The 22,719-nt window shown below is 47.6% G+C and overlaps 1 protein-coding gene and 1 pseudogene across 10 annotated transcripts in view; one reads left to right on the forward strand and one right to left on the reverse strand.

Moving 5' to 3' along the window:
* Positions 1-22,719, reverse strand: part of ATP10A (ATPase phospholipid transporting 10A (putative)) — a 192,852-nt gene that overhangs the window by 51,535 nt on the left and 118,598 nt on the right. For 8 of the 10 annotated variants that reach the window (XR_001751368.2, XM_011521828.3, XM_005268261.5 and 5 more), the window contains 4 exons: positions 12,285-12,370; positions 3,389-3,495; positions 2,180-2,311; positions 120-250 (listed from right to left, as the gene is read on the reverse strand). Coding sequence is in view for 9 of the 10 variants with exons in the window: in XM_011521828.3 (XP_011520130.1) it covers positions 120-250; positions 2,180-2,311; positions 3,389-3,495; positions 12,285-12,370 (456 nt within the window). In the remaining variant the exon portion in view is untranslated. Of the gene's footprint in view, positions 1-119; positions 251-2,179; positions 2,312-3,388; positions 3,496-12,284; positions 12,371-22,719 lie in introns of those variants that run through there. The other 2 variants (XM_011521829.3, XM_047432892.1) reach the window with 2 other exon arrangements.
* Positions 14,737-14,849, forward strand: RNA5SP390 (RNA, 5S ribosomal pseudogene 390; annotated as a pseudogene).

Here is a 22,719-nt window from a genome sequence, read left to right on the forward strand (position 1 = left end):
AGATATATTTGCCATCTTCCTAGATGCAGAATTTATAGGAAATTCTGAACAGAGTATGATGATTTTAAGTTCTCTTCATAAAAGTAAAGCAATTATTGTACGATACTTAGTATTGTTACCTGCAGAACTATTATCATTGTTAAAAATGAGTAAACTGCAGCTGTGACTGGGGATAAGGAGCTTCCATCAGACTTGGGGACATAAAATAATGACTTCTTCTCTTGATACCGCCATATCCACAGTCCATGTCCTGTAGTAATGTTCAAAGAGAAATGTCATTCATCCAATGGAAAAATAAGAATATTGCTAGCGTATATTAAAGCAAAACTTTAATATTTGTTACCTGATGCAAGCACATTTGGTTTTCTTACTCAGCTTTGCCATGTCAGAAAGCGAAAACACAATGTTCTCAGCACCTTCGATCCAACTTCAGGAAGGAGGTGGGACCTGGTCTCTTCCTTACACTGAGAGTTTCCCATTGTTGGTGCTAAGTGGCACCACTTGTCCCAACACAGAGCTACCCGCGTGTTGGCAGCTGACAGTGTGAGGCGCCAAGACAGAATTTCTTAACACGCATCTCACGAAATACCTGTCTCATGAAATGCGCAGCAAAAAAACAGTCAGTAGGCTCAGACACTGCCATTATTGTCCTTTCCTGAGATTCACAATTCACATATGGGAGGCTCTGGGAAGCCAACAGTAGTGCACATTGCCTAATCCACTGGACCCACACCTGTCTGGTCACAGAAGCCTTTTTCATGTCCTGTACATCTGTAACTTATGCCGCTGGGCTGAGACCACATCACACCCACTTGGTGTAGCCCTACATGGAACCTAACTGCTAGTCCCTTCTTAGGATCCAAAGCCATTTTTTGTTTCTCTTTTCATGAAGTTCCCATTAGTAACATCTGTGCTTCTCCTGCTATTAGCCTTAGTTTAGCACCAGGTTACTGATACTTCTTCCCCTGGAATTACCACCACCGCTGTGATGAAAGCATTCTTCCACTAAGAAATCGTCAGTTCAGAAAATAACATTACAGTCAGCTCTCAGTATCTGTGGGTTCCATATCCGTGGATTCAACCAACCATGGACCAAAAATATTAGGAGAAAAAAATTATATCTGTGTGTATTCCCTAAACAACACAGTATAACCATTATTTACATGACATTTACATCGTATTAGGCATTATAAGTAACCTAGAGGTGATTTAAAGCAGGGGTCCCTAATCCCCAGGCTGCAGACTGGTACTGGTCCATGGCCTGTTAGGAACTGGGCAGCACAGCTGGAGGTGAGTGGCAGGTGAGTGAGCATTCCCACCTGAGCCCCGTCTCCCGTCAGATCAGCGGCAGCATTCAATTCTCACAGGAGCACGAACCCTATTGTGAATTGTGCATGGGAGGGATCTAGGTTGCACGCTCCTGATGAGAATCTAACTGGTGCCTGATGATCTGAGGTGAAAGTTTCATCCCTAAACCATATCCTCTGCTACCCCTACATCCGTGGAAAAAATGTCTTCATAAAACCAGTCCTTGGTGCCAAAAAGGTTGGGGACTGCTGATTTAAAGTATAGAGGAGGGTATAGGTAGGTTATATGCCAATACTATTCCACTTCATGTCAGGGACTTGAGCATCTGAAGATTTTGTTATAGAGGGGGAGTCCTGGAACCAACCCCCCATGGATACCGAAGGACAGCTATACTCTGTCATGCCCATTCACCCAGGCGTTTCCATGTGGCCTGTGCTGATGCAGGCTGCCCTTGAGTTCAAGTCAGTGAAAAACTGGGGTTTTAATTTTTGAGTGCTAGGTTTGCATGTCTGGGGGCAGCCCACCAAGCTCACCTGGAGCCCACTCATTTCTTTCTTTCTTTTTTTTTTTTTGGAAACAGAATCTCACTCTCTCACCCAGGCTGGAGTGCAGTGGTGCGATCTCAGCTCGCTGCAACCTCCCCCTCCCGGGTTCAAGCCATTCTCCTGCCTCAGTCTCCCGAGTAGCTGGGACTACAGGCACATTTTTTTTGTATTTTTAGTAGAGATGGGATTTCACCATGTTGGCCAGCTGGTCACCAACTCCTGACCTCAAGTGATCTGCCCGCCTCGGCCTCCCAAAGTGCTAGGATTACGGGCACGAGCCACTGCGCCTGGCCCCCACTCATTTCCGATCCATCTAGGAGACTTACCGACTGCTGAAAACAGAGACATGCAAACAAGGAGCAGGACACACCAGAGCACGTCGCAGTTCATCTGCCTCTCCAGCTTGCTGCGCTTGTAGCGGGGCCCACTGTTGTTCAGCAGAGCCTTGGTTTCATGTCCTGTCGGGGAGGACAAAGAGACATGGCAAGTCAGAGACTGGAGCTAAGGGACCAGCTGCATGGATGGCGTGGAGGGAATTCCATGCTGCCATTCAGTGGTGCTTAGGTGAGAAGCTTGGTCAAAAAAGCAGGGTTTAAAATTAATCTTACTTCCTGTTGAACAGGTCTGAAAATAAATAAAATAAAATGAAATTAATCTTATACATATATAATGACTGTGGAGAACGAAATGGAAAGAAATACACTACCGTGCCAAGAAAGAAGGCTTTGGGTTGAGGTACTATTCAAAGAATTTTTGCTTTTGCTCCTTTCCATTTTCCTAGTTTCCAAATGTTCTACAATGGGGATATGTTATGCTTTTTTTCTTTTTTTTTTTTGAGATGGAGTCTTACTCTGTTGCCCAGGCTGGAGTGCAGTGGTATAAACTCGGCTCACTGCAACCTCCGTCTCTCAGGTTCAAGAGATTCTCCTGCCTCGGCCTCCCTAGTAGCTGGGACTACAGGTGTGCACCACCACGCCCAGCTAATTTTTTGTGTGTTTTTAGTAGAGATGGGGTTTCACTACGTTGGCCAAGCTGGTCTCAAGCTCCTGACCTCATGATCTGCCCGTCTCAGCCTCCCAAAGTGCTGGGATTACAGGCGTGAGTCACCACATCCAGCCATGCTACTCTTAGAAAACGGTGAGGGAGGCCGGGCACGGTGACTCATGCCTGTAATCCCAGCACTTTGGGAGGCCAAGGCGGGCGGATCACGAGATCAGGAGATTGAGACTATCCTGGCTAATACGGTGAAATCCCGTATCTACTAAAAAAATACAAAAAAAAAAAAAGGAGCCGGGCGTGGCGGGCGCCTGTAGTCCCAGCTACTCGGGAGGCTGAGGCAGGAGAATGGCGTGAACCCGGAAGGCGGAGCTTGCAGTGAGCCGAGATCGCGCCACTGCACTCCAGCCTGGGCGACAGTGCGAGACTCGTCTCAAAAAAAAAAAATGAAAAAGAAAAAAGAAAAGAAAACAGTGAGGGGAAGTGCTGGAGAACACAGCGCTGTCTGGCGGCAGGTGGTGCCAGGTGCCCGAGCCTACCTGCGTAGATGACAATGCCGACGACTGCGTCCGTGTTCCTAAGGGTGCAGCCCCTCAGCAGCAGGTTTTCTTTATACAGCCCGGCCTTTTTCCCGTTGTCATGTATGCTGTAGAGGGACAGTTGGCACATGTCACGTGGTTGCAGGCCTGTGCCTCATGTCTGGAGCCGCAATGCCTTGAGGAAGGAAGGCCCTGACACAATGAAAGCTTGGGGCCGCTGGGATCTGGACTGGGAAGGGTACAGGGGGCCCCCGAGAGTGGGTGGCTCGCCCTGTGGGTCTCTGCAAGAGCTGAGACAGAACTGCTGTTCACCAGTCACTAGGCATCCAGAAGCAGCTCTAGAGCCTGGTGTTTATTTGTTTTGCAGATAGACTTGTTTTCACTCCGGGACTGATCACCACTAGGAAGGGCAAACTCCCAACCGGCCAAGGAAGGCCTTGCTACGTGGTCTCTGTACATCTCCTGCTCAACACAGGAAATGTTACTCCTAATCAGTCTCAAGTTGTCATAAAAATACAAACATCTTTCTACAAAAGGGGACGATATTGGTTTCATTTTTAACATCCTTTTCTCTTACAAGAAGTTATAAAGTTATTAGAAGTATTAATATATGTGGTCTGAAATGTGGTAAATTCCATGAAACAATTCTATAAATTCTGTTTTACTGCTATTTAGATCCAGAGGGATAGTCTAAGCTTAAGCTACTGGTTTTCAAACTTGTCCTCCGGGCCCACTGATGACCCAGGCTGGCTGGGCAGTCTTGGGCTAGGACCGCCCTGGGACAGATATGGCCCCAGGGGCCAGAGCACAGGTCACAGGGGGAGGCCTCATAACCGGAACTGTAGCCCAGGCCTGCTGTGGTTCCAGGTTTCCAGAACAACAGCAGGGGCCCAGCCTAACCCACGCCAGGCAGGGCCACCAAGGGAGTGCCTTCCGAGAGGCTACCTTTTCACACCCACACCCCCTCTCCGCACGCATTCCCCACACTCTCAAGCCCACATGCTTCCTGTATGGCTCTTAGCGTCTCACCAGGGACCCCTGCAGGGGTTTCCCTCCTGCCAGCTATTGGCCTTCTGACCAGGGAAATAAACCTATGTCCTAGTGAAGAAGAGAAGCTAAACAGTAAAGGCAAGGCTGAAATGCAAGCTGGGAGGATATATTTTCCACAAGTCAGTTATTTACCAACAGCAAGGGTTCTTCGCCAGAGCAGACACAGTGGGGCCACTCAAGGGCCGTTCAGCCAACGCCGTGTCTACTGCTCCCTTGGCAATGCCAAGACGGAGTAAGGTTTTCCTTTAAAGAGAGATTCGAGACGGCAAACCACTTTGCCAGCCACAGCATCAAAAGCCTGGCAGGTATGAGATATCCTTAGGTACAAAACCCTGCTCTGCGCTTGTGGAGTGAGGACACCCCCTATCACGTGTCTCCCGTGGACTTCTCCAGCGAAAGCCAGACAAAGACACCATTGCACTGGGACAGTAGAAAATAACAAATCGTCTCCGAGTTCAGGTTATGCTTATTAAGGACAAACGATAAACTTTATAGAAACAAGAAAAATGTTCTACATTAAATGTTCTTCACTGTGACACTGACTTTTGAGCAACTACTGTGATTTCTGATGAGTCCAAGCCAGACGGCAACTTGGCACCTTACACAGGTGCATCGACCTATACAGGTCCATGCCAGAAGGAAGAGCGAATGCGAGGGGTTGGGAACGTACTCCTGCGTGAACAGCCCACAACACAAAGGGGAGGCTGGAGAACGACATCACCATCAGGTGCCTGGTACCTGGGCTAGAGGCTGCCTTGGGCTTCTGAGAGAGAGAGGCCCGGCCGAGGGCGACACAGGCCCAGAAGCACACAGGTACGAGGCTCAACTCCACAAAGACACACACAAGAACGTGAGCCGTCAGCTCCGTTGTCATGGGCTGAACCGTGTCCCCTCAGAATTCAGCTGGTGAAGCCCTAACTCCCAGGACTGCAGAATATGGCTGTATTTGGAGACAGAGTCTTTAAAGAGATCCTTAAGTTAAAATGAGGTCCTTTGGACAGGCGTGGTGGCTCACGCCTGTAATCCCAGCACTTTGGGAGGCCAAGGCAGGCGGATCACTTGAGGTCAGGAGTTCGAGACCAGCCTGATCAATATGGTGAAACCCCGTCACCAGGTGTCCTTGACTCCTCCCCCATTTTTACATCCATTCAACCTCATCTCCCTGGCTGTGTCTTTAATCCATGCCCTCTTCTGTATATCTCCATGCAGCACTGCTCTGATTCAGGCGTCTGCATTTCTCTGCTGGAGCCGGCAACACACGCTTGCTGGCCTCAGCTCCACTGGCCTGGGTTCCTCATGTGGGTTCCTCACACAGGCACCGGAGCAATCTTCGAGTGTGCGCCTGTGAGTGTCCCCTGCAGGACTCCTCATTGCTCCAGCTTGACGTGGGAACCAGCCGACCCTGCAGCCCCTGCTTGGCCCACAGAAGGGGTGGCTTCTGTGGTTTTCTGCCCCAGCCACCCCCACACAGCATGTTCTGTCCACTCTGTGCTAGCCTCTGCCTGAGGTAGCCCGGCCTTCCGGCCTGGGCTCAGCTTCTGCCGCCTTCAGGGCAGTCCTCCATGCCACACTCCCAGGCCCCCCACCCAGGCCAGCCGGCAGTATTCCATCTGCTTCCATGTCTCTGCTTCCAAACAGGAGCTGCTCATGTCCTATCCATTGCACACCCCAGTGCCTACCTCAGAGCCTGGCAAACGTTGAAGGCTGCCCGGCCCTTGGCTTTGAGCTGGGTCCCTCCAGTGGGGGATGACAGGAAGGACACTGGAGGAGTGGCTGAGAGCAAGAAAAGACAGGGAGTAGGCTGGGCGCGGTGGCTCACACCTGTAATCCCAGCACTTTGGGAGGCCGAGGCGGGAGGATTGCTTGAGGCCAGAAGTTAGAGACCAGCCTGGCTAACATGGCGAAACCCCGTCTCTACTAAAAATACAAAAAAAAAAAAAAAATAGCCAGGCATGGTGGTACACACCTGTAATCCCAGCTACTCAGGGAGGCTGAGGCAGGAGAATCACTTGAACCCAGGAGGTGGAGGTTGCAGTGAGCCAAGATCGCGCCACTGCACTACAGCCTGGGCAACAGAGTGAGACTCTGTCTCAAAAAAAAAAAAAAAAAAAAAAAAAAAGAAGAAAGAAAGAAAGGAAGGAAGGAAGGAAGGACAGGGAGTTTATTCCCTGCTCCCTCCTAGAGAGGCAGCACTGGCTGGCAGTGTCCCCTGACCAGGGCTATGAGTCTCCCCAGGCATCTCCCTGGTCATGAGTCCCCCAGGGCCACTCTTCCCCATGGGGCCTCATGGCAGTGACTGCTCAGCGGCCACTAATCTAGCATCTGCTCTGTCCCCGATGCGTCCCCTACACCCACCCACTCCTGCAGAAACACCTTAGCAAAGATGCACCCTTACCAAGTATCCTTCCTCATCTATATGAATCAGGGTGTTCAGTCGGCTTCCTAAGTGGGTCCTGACTGACATAAGTTGGGAGGAAGGAATGACAGATAATTCCTTCCATTGGCAAATCCTGGGCAGAATTTGCTTTAAAATAATCAGATGTTCATATTTTTGTATAAATAATAAATAAAAATAAATAAATATTTCTGTATAAAATCATCAGATGTTCATATCTAACAAAAGTAAGTGTGGAAATTACCAGACTGTTTTGTGCTGATGTTCAATATTTTTAAGATATAAATATGTCAACTAAAGGTGGCAAGGCGAAATTAAAACATTCCAGTTTTAATGAGTCTAGTTGATGCAGTTTATTTAATGCTTGGTCACTGGCAGTAAAGACATTTTGGATACAGCCCACACAAGGCTCCAACCAGACACCAGGCAGGAGGGGGCAGGGACCCTGACAGCTCTGTTGTTAGTGACAGCCCTGCTGTCTTTACTAACCACCGTCTCTGAAGGGTGTCACCCACCAGGGCGAAGAGCCTACTCCAAAATGCAGCTGGTGCTCGTGCCGGCCCTATGCGGTTGTAGGAGGCTCTCCAGGTCAGAAGCCTGCTCTGTGGGGTAAGAATGGTCACCAAAGGAGAACAGGGTTGGCTATACTTGTATCCGACAAAATAGACTAAGTCAAAAACTATCCTACAAGACAAAGAAGGGTCAATTATGCAGGAAGACATAACAATTATAAATATGTATGCATCCAATATCAAAGCACCCAAGTATATAAAGCAAACATTGACAGATCGGAAAAGAGAACTAGGGAACCTGCTTTACAATGTGAAATGGAATTTTACATTGGATGACCAACTAACCAGCCAACCTCTTTGCTTTATTCTTTAGGGGAAAGTGCAAATGTTTGATTGATTTGTGGCTTCAGAGGTGACCACATGCCATAAAGTTGGCTGAGCACAATCAGCAGGGTCAGGCTGAGCCAGGCCTCCATTCCCAGGAGGCCTCTCTGGGAGATGACATCTCAGGGTTGGGGCTAAGGAGTGAGTGCTGGGAACAGCTGGAGAAGGTGGGGAACGATGTTACTTCCAGATCCTAACTCTGAAGATTTCGCTAGGGCTTAACTATATGAGGATCCTTCCAAAGAATGCAGCCTTAAAGGGCACTTGAATAATGAGGCTCCTAGCACTATTTTTCTGCCAGCTGGAGATATATTTCACATACTATAATGTTCACTCATTTAAAGTTCATAGAGTTCTGTATTTTGTTTTGTTTCAGATAGGGTCTCGCTCTGTTGTCCAGGCTGGAGTGCAGTGGTGTGATCATAGCTCACTGCAGCCTGGACCTCCTGAGCTCAAGCCATCCTCCCACCTCAACCTCCTGAGTTTCTGTGACTACAGGTGTGCACCACCACACCCACACCAGGCTAATTTTTGTGTGTGTGTGTGATTTTTGTAGAGACAAGGTCTCACTACATTGTCCAGGCTGCTCTTAAACTCCTAACCTCAAGTGAACCTCCCATCTAGGCCTCCCAAAGGATTACAGGCATGAGCCACTGCACAGGCTAATTTTTTTTCTGTTTGTATTTGTATCATCAGAGTTGTAAAACTACCACCACCAGCTAATATGAGAACATTTTCTTCTTTCTTTTTTTTGAGACTGGGTCTTGCTCTGTCTCCCAGGATGGAGTACAATGGCACAATCACGGTTCACTGCAATCTCTGCCTCCCCCGCTCAAGTGATCCTCCCACATCAGCCTCCCAGGTAGCTGGTACTATAGGAGTGCACCTCCACACCCAGCTAACGAGAACATTTTCATCACCCTAAAAATAAACCCTAGACCCACGGGCAGTCACTTCCCATTCCTATCTCATTCCACACCCCCAAACCCTGGCAACTGCCAATCCACTTTCTGTGTCTAAGATTTTCCTACTGTGAGCATTTCACATGCGACACCTTCTTTTTTTTTTTTTTTGAGATGGAGTCTCGCTCTGTCACCCAGGCTGGAGTGCAGTGGTGTGATTCTGGCTCACTGCAAGCTCCGCCTCCCGGGTTCACGCCATTCTCCTGCCTCAGCCACCCGAGTAGCTGGGACTACAGGCGCCCTCCATGACACCTGGCTAGTTTTTTGTATGTTTAGTAGAGACGGGGTTTCACCGTGTTAGCCAGGATGGTCTTGATCTCCTGACCTCATGATCTGCCCGCCCCGGCCTCCCAAAGTGCTGGGATTACAGGTGTGAGCCACCGCGCCCGGCCACGACACCTTCTAATTCATGTTGTACTTCACTTTCATTCCTTCACTGGACTCTCATGTCAGCCTGTGAGGTTGACAGGCAGTCGATGATACCTCCAGGATTAGGAGAAGGCCGGGGCTCAGAAAGGCAGAATAACTTTCCTAAGGCCACCTCCCAGGGAAGAGAAAGAGCCTGTATTCAGACTTGGGTCTTCTTGCTACAAACCCAAACTCAGTTCTGTTCTCCAAGTGCAAACAGTTAATGTTTCAAGTTTGGAATGGCAGGTCCTAAAAGAAGCAAATCTGCCGGCATTCCTGGGCTCTGTGGTGTGAAGGAGGTTACGGGGCAGCAGCTGCCTCATGGAGGCTGCAAGGAGGCCAGTGGGAGGAAGCAAACCAGGGAGGTGGCTCTGCAGCTGAGCCACTTCCTGAGCCTAGACAGCAGATCTACCTCCCAACTTAGCTCCCTGCCCTGGGCATCAGGACTGGTATGGGGTTAAGACCTCCTTTCTCTTTGCTTGGGACGGATAGCGTTACCAGGCCCTACAGGAGGGAGGATTCCTGCCCGAGGGAGCACTCCAGCCCCAGGGAGCACTCCTACCCCGGGAGTATTCCTCACTGCGAGGCTGCCCCAGTCCCCTTCAGGCTGATGGTCCGGGGCAGGGCTGCTCCCCTTGGTCGTGCCCCACAGTCACGGGGGCAAGTATTAACACACTGCTGCTCCACCCCCAGAGGCCCCTCCTGACCTGTCTGGCTGGGAGAGGGGCCATCCAGGCCCTGACAGCCCTGTGGCAAGCCCAGAACACCCCGGCTGGTGGAGATGGCGAATTATCGTTAAAGAGCGTCAGGTGTGGAGAGGCCTGAATTGGCTGGGCGCACACTGGCCCAGATGGTGCCTGTGCCCAGGCCACAAGGGGGCTACCAGGGTTGGACGATGGGTGGAGTACACGAGGAGACAACACGACATGACTGAGGGCAAAGCAGGAAAGGATTTCATGCTGGGAGAGCTGCTCTTCTCATGTCCCTTTCTCGGGCAACATGCCGGTGAGGACACCACAGGAGGAACGCCTGCTGGCGGCACAGGCTGGAGAAGCCCCGGTGGGCCTGGCTGGCTGGCTGCAGGCAGATGACACCCACTCAAGAGGCATCTTCCCCGGCACCCGGGGGGAGTGCAGCCAGGCCTGGGGGTACACAGCCAGGCAAGGGCCTCATGTGGGAGGCAGTGAGGTGCTGGGGCTGAGCGCAGGGCGGAGACACCACCCAGACTCCTGTCCTCACCACACTGCTAGAGACAGTGGCTGAGCAATACAATGCTCCTCCCGTCTCCTGCACCGGACCCCGCCCCTCTCGTCCACCCCAGCAGAGGGCCGTCACCTTTCCTAGGCTCTGTGGATCCAGCAGGCTGCAGGCCTTCGTATCTGTCCCTGCTGTGCCTCCACTGCCAGGCACCGCCCTGTCACACCAAGGACAATGAGCTAGGAGTGCAGTCTTCAGAAGAGAAAGTCGGCCCCTTATTTATTTATGTTTTTTGGTGGAGTTGGCACCGTAAAATTATTCCAGGGATACCACTGAACATTCTCCAGAGATTGCCCTCGCCCCACCCTTCACAATCATTGTTTCAGGTCAAGATGTCTAGCAACCCAGCACCTGCTCTCTGTAGCCAACTCGTGCCTGGGGATTCCCAGCAGTGCTGAGGATGGTGCCCTGCACACAAACTCTTGGGGCAAGGGATCAAGGAGGCCTGGGGAAGATGGCCCAGGAGTCAAGAAAGACCAGAAAAGCCACAGCACACGGGTTGTGCTGAGTATTTCCTCCCCAAATCGTAGAGGTTATATGCTTACATTTTGTTGTTGAGTTTTACCCTGCTTTAATTGGCTTATTTAAGGGGTGATTTAATGCTATCGGTGTCTGATTCTCAGATAATAAGGGCAATTCCAGTGGGTGACGGGGCCATCACTTGGCTGCAGACACATTTCAGCTTTTGCTGTGCAGAGTTCACTTCCGTTGGGTCATCCCCAGCCCTACCGCCTGCCACTGTGTGCTGGGCACAGGCAGTAATGCTGGAGGTGCTGGCAAAACAGAAGACTCAACCTACACCGAAAGCTCTTAGAAATGGGGCCACTTCCAGAAGCAGATCGCTCCCACGCCTCCGTATGTCTGCGTGGTGGGAGCGGGGGGGGGGTGGGGGGGTGGGGGAAGTGGGTGGGGCAGGCGAGCCCACTGCCTGGGCCATTCAGCGGCTGCAGGCGTCAAAAGTCCATCCCTGCCTCCAAGCAGGACAGTGCCAGGAGGTGGCCCCTTGTGCTGCAGGCGAGAGGGCTGAGCCCACGGGAGGTGGCTGAGGCATGATAGCTGGAACAGAGCTTGAGGGCAGAGGAAGGTCATGTGCGTCATGCCCCTGTCACAGCCTTGTTCTCCAGAAGACCATCCCCAAGGGCCCTGGCAGGCCACTCAGCAACTCCGTTCTGACACTGCCTATTCTCTTCCATGTTTTTGCCCACAGCACTGACCACACACACACACACACTCCGATTATTATGGAAATTTTCAAACAGACATGAAGGTGGTTTCTACTACTCCCCATCACGTGGCTTCAGCAAGTGCCAACACAGGGCCAGGCCTGTGCCCTGATCCACCTGTCTTTCTGTTTTGGAGCAGGAAGGGGCTGGCCTACTAGACACACTCTAGGTTATGCTTATTTGTTTTAATTGTCTTTCTTTCCCCCAAACTAGAATGAAATAAACACAAAGGCAGGAACTTCTGTTTATTCAGTTTACCACATTACATCCAGTGCCTTGAATGCACCCAGCATGTAACAGGTATCAATAAATACGTGTTCAGTGACTGAGTGGAAGCATATATCCATGAAACTCCACCCGGCCTACTCCTGCTTCCACGTTAACGGGGCCATGTGTGGTCAGCTACACATCTCTTGTCACACCCATCACCTACCCGGGGCCTGCTAGCGGGAGGAAAAGCGGTACCTCCTCCTCACAGATGGTAGTGGCAAGCTTCTACTGACAACAGGCTCTTACCCACTACTGACAACAGGCTCTTACTTCCAAAAGCAGCCAAGAAGGCTCAGGTGCTGGGCCACATTCCCAAACAGCTACACCATGTGGCAAAGAGTATTAAATGCATACTTTATAACTGAGAATGTGTAAACACCTGCCTATGTAGTTATCAAACAGAAGGATGCGCGCAGGCAGACACACGATACTCACATGCAGCCGCGAAACCTACTCAGGTCGTTGTTTGGCTTCTCGCATTCGATCACGCTGGTGAACGTCAAAGGATTGAATTCGGAGACCTAAAATAACAGCACGTAGACATTAGAGAAATCCGGGCTCAGGCTGCGCCGTTCTAAAAGGCACTCGCTTTTCTGTCTCGCATCCGCGGCAGGCACATTTCACGGGGGAAGAACTCTGCCTATGAATCTCTCTGGAAAGCCAAAGCAACGCCTTCTCCACTGTATAATAAATAACAGTTAATCATTTTATAACGAGTGACAATTGGGGGACCGGTACTGGTTACTGGTTAGTAAGTGAGCAGAAATGACTGCAGCTCTATTGCAAAATGAGAGAACAGGCGATAAAGCAAAGGAGGCCATCAATGAAGCAAAGGGATGAATGAGTTTTTTAAGACACACGGCACTTGCCCATTTCTACAGACTTAGGGAAGCAAATTCCACCTGGAAAACAGGAGCTTATAATAAATTCTATTTTTTCAACGTACACTACATGATCTTCATGGATCTTTGATGAAAAAGATTTACATAGCCAATGAGTGAGCCAACAACTTCTTTAGTATTCTGCTCAATTAAAAAAAAACCCTGACAACTCACCACAAAAATGTCTTTAGAATTTTTCCATTGATAGATAAAACAGAGCCTGGCTCATAAGAAAGGCTTAGGAGTGGGGGGAAGGAGGAAGAAGGGAGAGAAATGGAGGGAATAAGCCTTCAGTATAAACGAGCACAATTAGTGGATTTCTTTTTTATCAGCTCTCTGGTCAGGCCTGGCATTCTACTTAATCTAGCAAGTGTCATAACATGGTAAAAAACTGAACTGTCTTTAATGACACATACAAAAAGTGAAGGTGGTTAAAAATTATAGAAATGGCATAAACACTGTTGACACCACCCCAGGTTAACTATGGCTCTGCCGCAACCACACATTTCCCTGCATAGAATACAGCCATAAAGGTAATTACTCAAAACTCAGTTCCTACTGTTTCCCAGTGTAAAGCGTACATTAAAAGGGGCGTGTGCTAGATAATCGTAGCTCGATTCAATAACTGAAATTGAAATGCTATTTTAAAAGGCTCTTCTTGGAGTGTAATTAGCCATCAGTCTCTCTTCTCCTTGGACTGAAATGGCCTCTCGCTCTATTTCCAGAGCAGGGCTCTGTTTCAAGGAGTCTTGTGTTTATTTAAAGCCTGTGGATTATCTTGAAACCAGTGGATGGCTTTTTCCAGGGCAGACATTTGCAGATACAAAGTACAGGATGGCCATGAAGGCAGTGAGTTCCAGAGAACACCAGGATTATTCTTGGCAGACGAGGAGGGTAGGACTTAAAATATTTTGTCTCTGTTTATTATTCTTTCTCTCTAAGAAAAATGTCATGGACATGGCTCAGAAACAGTAGGACATTCTGTCTCTGGGACTTCAGAGCTGTGTTTGTAATGTTCTACCAACAATCCCATGCCCTGGGGAGTGTGCGCAGGGGAGGTCCCAGGCACGGGACGGCTGGCTTCCTCTGCATCCTTCTGGAACTGGGGAGGATTTGGAGGATTTTTAGAACTGGAGGGATCTCTAGAGACTGGCATGGGCTGAACTGGAGCCCCTCATCCGCCGCTAGAACTCATATATTGAAGTCCTAACCCCACGTAGCTCAGAACGTACCCTTATTTAGAGAGGAAGTCTTTAAAGAGGTAACTAAATTAAACTGAGGTCATCAGGGTGGACCCTAATCCCACATGACTGGCGGCCTTATACAAAGGGAAAATCAGGACGCAAAGACACACAGAGGGGAGATCATGCAAGGACACAGGGAGAAGCCAAAAAAAGAGGCCTCAAAAGAAACCATCCTGCTGACCCCTTACTCCCGAATGTCCAGCTTCCAGACCTGTGAGAAAATAAACTTCCGTTGCTTAAGCAGCCCAGTCTGCGGTGTTTCATCAATGAGGCCCCAGTAAACGAATACAGAGACCATCTTTGAGTTTCTCATTTAAAAAGCATTTCATATCCAGAGCACACCTTCTGGATGAGGAAAATCCTGTTTACATTGCTTATTTCTAACAACAGGCAACACACAACACTCCCCATTTAGGAAATACATTGATTTATCCCTCCATCCACTCATGTCTACCCCTGACTCATTCCAAACCAGCTTTGAGGTCATGCCCAAGTTATCCATCAGTCAGACTTGTCAACCTGCCCCCTGGAGCATGGACAAAAGTAGAGGCCCCCGATCCACCCTTCTGCTCTGGGCACACTAACTCCATTCTTCTTAAAAAGCAGATATCCAGCTAGGGAAGAGGAAGCAGTTCTACAGATGGATGGTGGTGATGGTTGCGCAACAATGCGAATGAACTTAATGCCACTGAACTGTACACTCACAAATGATTACAATAGTAAACTCTGTGTTATGCATATTTTGCCATGATAAAAAATTTCATTTACTGCCATGCCACCCTGAATGCATCCAATCTTGACTGATCTTGGAAGCTAAGCAGGGTCAGTACTTGGATGGGAGACACAATTTAAACATTTTTAAGTGGATATAAACCAACTCTGAGAATTGACTGAGAAGAAATGAAATAATCATCAAGTTGAACATAGACCAGAAATCTGGCACCTTTCAGTACAAGTACATAAAGTCTCCCTCGCCAGTAATTCGTGAGGGCACTGCCATTCTGATCGTCATCACCATCAACATAATTACAAGTTTGGGGAGGCTTGCCAAATGCCAGGCATTGTGCTAAGTGCCCTACAATTATCAGGCAACCCTGCTAGAAAGTCAGTTTTTGCACCACCTTCAACTTAGGATCTTTAAGTATCGTGCCCAAGGTCACAGTGGTCTTGGAGTGACAGACTGGAGCTTTCTTGGCCTCTGAGCTATCAGCTCAACCATCAATACCTGCAGAGACAATCTGGCATTAACAGAAAAAGATTGTACAAGTAAGCCAGAAAATGTGTAACAGATTCTATAGAAACGTCCCCCAAAATTTAAATTGCTTTTTATTTTTTATTTTTGAGACAGAGTTCTGCTCCTGTCATCCAGGCTGGAGTGCAGTGGCGGGATTTTGGCTCACTGCAACCTCCACCTTCTGGGTTCAAGCGATTCTCCTGCCTCAACCTCCCAAGTAGCTGGGATTACAGGCGTGAGCCACTGCACTCGGCCTTAATTGCTTTTTAAAGTTCTAAGTTTCCAAAATTTAAGTTTTAGTATTTTGAAAACATGCTTCAGCTCAACATACCTTAATCTGATCATAGATACCCTCTTTCCATCTTCAGCAATGCCTGTGGATGTGGGCTTACCAGAGCCCACTCAAAAACAGAGTAAAAAATCAGGAGCGAGCCCGGGGACTTAGTGCTAGTTCTTCTGATTAATAAATATGAGACTTTTGGCAAGTGAAGAGAGGGCATTTGGACTCGGATCTCCGGGGTCTCTGTTGCCCTATAAGTCCACAATCCTGTAGGATGCAGAGATGGTTCCAATGAATCCCTGTGCTTGGGATGACAGACTCACTATTGCAGAAACAGCATCACCTGCAAAAGTGCTGCCCACACATGCCAGCCTCAAGCTGAAGCACTGCCCTCTGCATCTCTGCTGCAGCACCCCAGCATCTCAGACAAAAGGAAGCAGACACCGTGAAGGGTTCGCCCACTGCAGAGCAACATGTTCAAATAAATATCTCACCGGCAAGAAAGAAAGTGCTCACAGTTTCTGTTGTTGTCTTACAGATATTTCTGAAACTTCTTTGGGCAAAGTGATTTGACCTGACTAGGTGGAAAGAAAGAGGCAGGACAGTGGTGCAACAGAGAGCCCTCCAGCCCTGCCCCTGAACTTGCGTTTCTGCTAGAGACCGCAGCAGCAGGTGCTCCAGGGATGCCCAGAGCCCTGCGGCATGCTTCTGTTTCCTCCTGATGCCTGGGACCTCCTCCTGGTAGAACAGCTGTGTCCCCTCTTCAACCACATGGGGGAGGCGTGTGTCTAATTCAGCAGTGCCCAGATTGCTACTTGAATGAATGGTTTGATTCACAGGGGAGATTCTGTTACCAACCTTGTATTTCACATTTGTATTAAGTGAATTGCTACTAAGTACTCAACAAAAGCAAATACAGATGTCCTCCATCTTGAAACAGCAGTGATGTTGGAAAGGGCATTTACAGTCCATTAAAGAGGATACTGTTATTTTTTTTCTATCATAAAAAAACTAAAGTAAAGAGGTTCATATTGCTTCAGCCATTGGGTGAGCACACAGCACAGGTGCACACTTGGGTCATCTGCAGGTCTGCTGCCAGCAGGGACCCTGCCTAACGCTCCAGGTGGAAATCTGTGAGTGAGGCCACCTGTCTGGGTCTCTGGATGATGTGGGCAGAGAGAACCCTGGTGAGAGAATGCACAGAGAGCAGGGGCCAGCACCTGCCAGCCAGGCAGGGCCACCGCCTGCACCAGCAAGAAGACGTGGAAAACACACACACTCCCGTCTTCTGCATCTGGATCCCGTTCTGAAAACGCCCTTTGCATTTCCCTTCATGATACTCCCAGGTCACAAGGAGGGTGAGGTCCCCCTGGTTCACTTCCAGCCTTGACATCACGCCTGGACATGGTCCTCGAAGGCTCTCAGTGACAAACACAACACCTCTGTCTACCTGGCTTTGGTCTCGCCACCTGCTATGGGCCTGTTTGTCCCTGGACTGAATGATCCCCGTCTGATCACAGAAGTTTTCCACCTTAACAAAGCCTTGGAGACAGCTGCTGCCCTACAGAATGCAATCCTCATCCCGTGCAACAGCAAAGCTCTGCTCAGGGTCACTGCGCTGACCTCCTCGGCTACCATCCCTCCCAGCACCCATTCCTGCCACGCAGGGAACCCTGAGGAAGCCCAAACCTTTCTGCATGGCTTCCTCTGTCTTGCCATCCTACAGCATCAGGCGAAGTGCCCTTCATTTAGCATTTCAGGATGTTGTCTTTTCTGGAGAAGCCTTCCTGACGGCCCCCTGGTAGGGTAGGCAGGTGCCACAGCTCCGAACTTGCTTAGTCCCCATGCAGACATCAAACCCCGTGCTTCCTGGGTGTGGCTGGAGCTGGCTCCCATTCCTCCTTCACTAGACCACAGGTTCCCTGAGCACAGGTACTCTGTGCCCTTGAGACCATCACAGTGCCTGGCACACACATGGTCAGAGGGTGACGAATGCTTATTTCAGAAGGATCTCAGGTGCCACAAGCTTCTGGATCACCCCAGAACTCCGTGCTGGGCTCTTGGGGACCTAGAGCCCCTGCCTGCCGCACCATCTCCCAAGAGGGCCTGCTGAGGCGTCTCTGTGGTTCCAGAATGCATAGTTCCTCTTTTTAAAGTGCGGGCTCTTTTCCCCTGGCAGCAATACAAAATGATTTCTACATAGCCTCTAATCCGGCTCCTTAGCTCCTTACTTATTGATCATGGGTAAAGAATGCCTTCATTAAATTAAGTCAAGCATTTTAACCCAAATTAATGGAATAATTACCCCAACTCTTTTGTTTTGTACTTTCTTTATTATTACTATTATTATTATTTTGTATTTCAATCTAATTTGTATTTACCACTTGATGGTCAGTGCTGTGGAAATTCAAAGGAGGGCAGATGGCCCGATCCCAATACTGAACGAATGAGTGAATTTACTTTTTCACTGCCAAGACTGTATTGTCAGGTGAACATTTTCAATTTGCTAAACTGAAACAGCAAAGTAGTCTGTTTTTGTCCACCACGTGTCTCCTGACACATAGTGGGTACTCAATCAGTTATTTATTGAAAAAATAAATAATAAATAAATACCCAAGTGAAAGCGTCTGGTGGCAAGAAACACCGAACGTACAAGGAAACTTAACTCAAAGTGATAATTTCTCCAAGTTCCACAGATTCAGTGTTACTCTAGGGGTTAATGCCCCGTGACAAATACTGAATAGAAATGAGCATGAAACCCATTTAGACAGCAATGTAATCTATAATAGCGGCTGTGATTGTATTATTTAAGGTATCCCAAATATGGAAGTGATAAGTAGGTTGGCCCAGCCGCTCATGGCGGGACACTCCACTGCACGTCACACAGCATGTGACGGAGAGTGCTGCGTCCCTGCCTGACGTGGTTCTCGTCTCCACGGTGACAAGCTGACAGGGACAATGAGAACTGGCATCCAGGCCTCCGCAGTCCTCTTTCAGAGTCAGCTTCACACAGGTCCACAGGTGGCTTCTGGGAGGCTCACGCCTCAGAGAAACTGATCAAGGGGTGTCTGGGTTCTGCCTTCTTTTTCTAACTGGAGATTTTCTTGCCGCAAGCACCAGTGTTAGAGATCAAGTGGTCCTCCCTTAGTTTCTGAGCAGAAAGGCAGCTTTTCCCTTGTTAAATTCTAGTTTAGAACGCAGGCGCCAGCCTCCCCTTGCCTTTTCTGCCTTTCATCTTTTGTCCCCTTGCCTCCTGACTGTCGCACAGTCAAAAAGCCTCGGTAGATGGTGGCAAAATTCAAAGGCTCACAGTGCGGGGTTAGAGTTTGAAGTCTCAAAATCAAAACCCTTTCTTTCCCTCCTGGCCCCAAACGCTCCATGCTGTTTCAGTGGGCTGTGGCTGTCAGCAAAGCCTTGCTTTCTCCTCCGTCAAATGCACCTAAGAGTCCCTAAGAACTGGCTGTGCATTCAGGCAGTAGGTAACGAGAGTTGTTTCACAGAACACCAAATTCAAACCTAGATGAGGGCTGCTCGTTAAAATTGCCCTCTTGAACGTATTTGTACTTAATCCAACAGGGTGTCCCTGCATGAAACCCGCCTGCAGCCCCTCTGCTGAGCTATTAGCACAGTGAGATCCACATCAGTCTGTCTGCTTCCACAGCCACAGGCCACTTAGTGCCTCTTCCATCACTACAGGTGGGGGTGATGGTGTGAGCAGAGGCACGGCTTTTGGGTGTGAACGTGTCATGCTTTAGCGCTCACTCAGTAGACAGCCTTGCTGGAGAAAAGGTGCTCTCTCTGTGCACAGCGTAAGAGGGGTCTGGAGCCTCAGTGTATTTGTAATAAAAGGGACCCTAAAGGCAGAGTTCCATGGACCACAGGGCCATTGGTAGCCACATAGAGGAAGACCATACTACTATTTTAGAGGCCAACTGGGATGGAGAATACAAAAAGAGGTCAGCTAAGAAAAAACCTCTTGCGCTAATCTGGGGAATGATTCCAAGACTGAAATGGCAACAGAAATGTGAAATTCTAAAGCACAACCAGATCTGCTCAGTCATCAGATTCAAAAGAAAAGTTATCCAGCACCAGACGACTGGGCAATTTGGACCAAACCTCTAGTTACTGGCAAACAGAGATGCTGGACAGAAAACTGAAGACAGCTGCCTGGAGGTATGAAGGATTTAACAAGAAAGTGAAGAATAAGCAAGCCAAGAAATAAAAAGACAAAAATCCAGAGTTGAGGCTGGGCTTTGAGGTTTCTTTTCCCTGAGGAGGGTCTACAGCTTCTGCAAGATGTAGTTAAGAGGTTGAGTGGAGCTCATGAGACACATGTTGGTGCTCGGGGCCTATATTAGTTGCCTGTAGCTGCTGTAACAAATGAACACAAATGTGGTTGCTTAAAACAACAGTCATTTGTTGTCTCGCAGTCCTGGAAGTCGAAAGTTGGAAACAGGTCTCACTGAGCTACAGTCAAGGAGTTGGCAGGGCTGTGTTCCTTTTGGAGGCTCTAGAAGAGAATGCATCTCTTTGCTTGTTCCAGCTTCTTAAGTCACATTCCCTGACTTATGGCTTCCTTCCATTTTTAAAGTCATCAGTGTGCGGGGATTGAGTCTGTCTCACGCTGTATCACTTTGATAGTGAGGTCTGATTAACAGCCTTAATTCCACTTACAACCTCCATTTCTGCTTGCTATGTAGCATAACATATCCACAGGTTTAGGTGAGTAAGATGTGGGCATCTTTCGGGGGACCACTATTCTGTCTACTATAAAACCTACCAAGAGAGGGGCCTGATAAACACCTATGCTTTCTAACGCAACCAGGAAGAACGGCATCACAGAGGTGAACTGCGGGAAAGAGCTTCAACATGGAACTTAATACAACACGGTGCCACTGCATCAAACACATCCAGAACACTGCTGAGCTCCTTTTGTGCAGCTGCTACCCAGCTTAGAGTCAACTGAGTGGCCCAGAAAAATCTCAATGTGAAAAATGGAGTATAATAATTCCAAATTGCTAGAACCCCTAGATACTAAACAAAACCAGCAAAAGTCTTCTTTATATATGTGTGTCTGTGTGTGCACATGTATGTGTGTGTGCATGTATGTGTGTGAGTGTGTGTATATATATATGAAATACAAGGCCTCAAATTATTTGTAAAAAATCAATTTCCAGGTACAATGTCAGACACAGACTCAGGGATAACCAGGCATAACAGGATGTAAAGCATCATGGAAGAACCAACAAAACAAGAATAGGAACAGATCCACAGGAAGTTTAAAATCATGCTTGCTGTGATCATAAAGCTAAAGATGCACCTGAAATTTTACAACAGCTAGAAATTATAAAATGTGACCTTAGAGATTTCGAAAATATAGAGCCCACATGAAATTTTCAATTAAAAGCTGACTGCCTGGCTTATTAGCAGATTTGGCAAACACAAAGAGAAAACTAGCAAACTACAAGAAACATGAGAAAAATGGTTTTGAATTAAGCATGGGAAGATGAAAGGATGAGAAGTACAGAAGACAGGGAAGAAACCATAAAGGATAGAGGGAAGTCTAACGTGTGTAATCAGGGCCCCAGAAGAAAAAGAGAGAGAGAATGATGCAGGAGCAATTATTGAATACATAATAGCTGAGAATGTAGTAAATCTGACTAAAAAGCAACAAACCGCAGATGCAAGAACTTTTAAATAGGGTCTGTGAAGGGAGATTATACCTAGGCACATGACACTAAAATGATGAAAACCAAAGAAAATAAACTCTTAAAGGGAAATTGGGGCCGGGCGCGGTGGCTCACGCCTGTAATCCCAGCACTTTGGGAGGCTGAGGCAGGCAGATCACGACGTCATGGTCTTGAAAGACCAGCCTGGCCAACATGGTGAAATCTCAACTCTACTAAAAATACAAAAATTAGCTGGGTGTGATGTCACGTGTCTGTAATCCCAGCTACTTGGGAGGCTGAGGCAGGAGAATCACTTGAACCCAGGAGGCGGAGGTTGCAGCTTGAACCCAGGAGGCGGAGGCTGCAGTAAGCAGAAATTGCACCACTGCATTCCAGCCTGGGCAACAGAGCAAGAATCCGTCTCAAAAAAAAAAAAGGGAAATTGATAAAACTTGTTACTGGCACACAAAAACTAAAGAAAATACTAAACAGTAGTGTTAAAAGAGAAGGAGGCCAAGCACAGTGGCTCATGCCTGTAATCCAAGCACTTCGGGAGGCCAAAGCAGGAGGATTGCTTGAGGCCAGCAGTTTGAGATGAGCCTGGGCAACAGAGCAAGACCCCATCTCTGCTATAAGAAAGAGAGAGAGAGAAGGAAATTGGCCTGATGAAAGGACTAAGATGCAGGAAGAAATGAAAAGCAACAAAAACGGTAAATAAGAAAGTAAATATAAAAGCATGTTGACTGTATTAAATAATAATGTCTTTGGCAATTCATAAACTGATACAATTACAAAACACAAGAGTATGTAAGTTGGAAGAGAATAAAAAGATGTTTTTTGCTTAAAAAGGGCCCTTGAATTATTCAGAAAGAGAATACAAATCAATTAATGTTTAATACTGATAGTCAAAGATGCATGTTGTAATCTCTCATGTAACCACCATATTATAGTAAGAAGCATATAATTTCCGAACCAACCAAAGAAAGCATGGTAAACTCAATGAATCAGAAAGAAGGCAAAAATGGAGAGAAAAAAGAATACATCAGGCAGGACAAATAAAAATAATAAATGGATGCTTCACACTCAAATATACCAGTAGTAACTTTAAAAGTGGATCAAGAAAAATATTTTAATGAAAACCCAAAAACTATGTCAGACTGAATTTAAAAACTCAAGACTATATTGACGAGAAGAAAGACCTAAAGCATGCAGATACTAGAAAAGTGTGAAAAGCTGAAAAAGATATAAATGGCAAAGAGTAACAAAAAGAAAGCTAGCGTGCCTGTATTAATATTAGATAATATAGTATTAAATCAAAAAGCATGTCTCTATATAAAAAGCATTAATTTGAATTAAAAAGTTCAACTCATTTGAAAAATAAAAATGTCTAAATTTATATAATCCTAATAGCATAAACTCAAATTATATATTACAAAAATTGACAGAAACAAAGGAGACATAAAACAAATCCACAAACTTGGTAACATTCCTTTCTCAGTATTTGATAAAACAGTCAAAAAACCAGGAAGTTATATATTTGAGCATCACTATTAATAAACTAA

Source organism: Homo sapiens, chromosome 15 (assembly GCF_000001405.40).
Source record: "Homo sapiens chromosome 15, GRCh38.p14 Primary Assembly".
Taxonomy (NCBI): domain Eukaryota; kingdom Metazoa; phylum Chordata; class Mammalia; order Primates; family Hominidae; genus Homo; species Homo sapiens.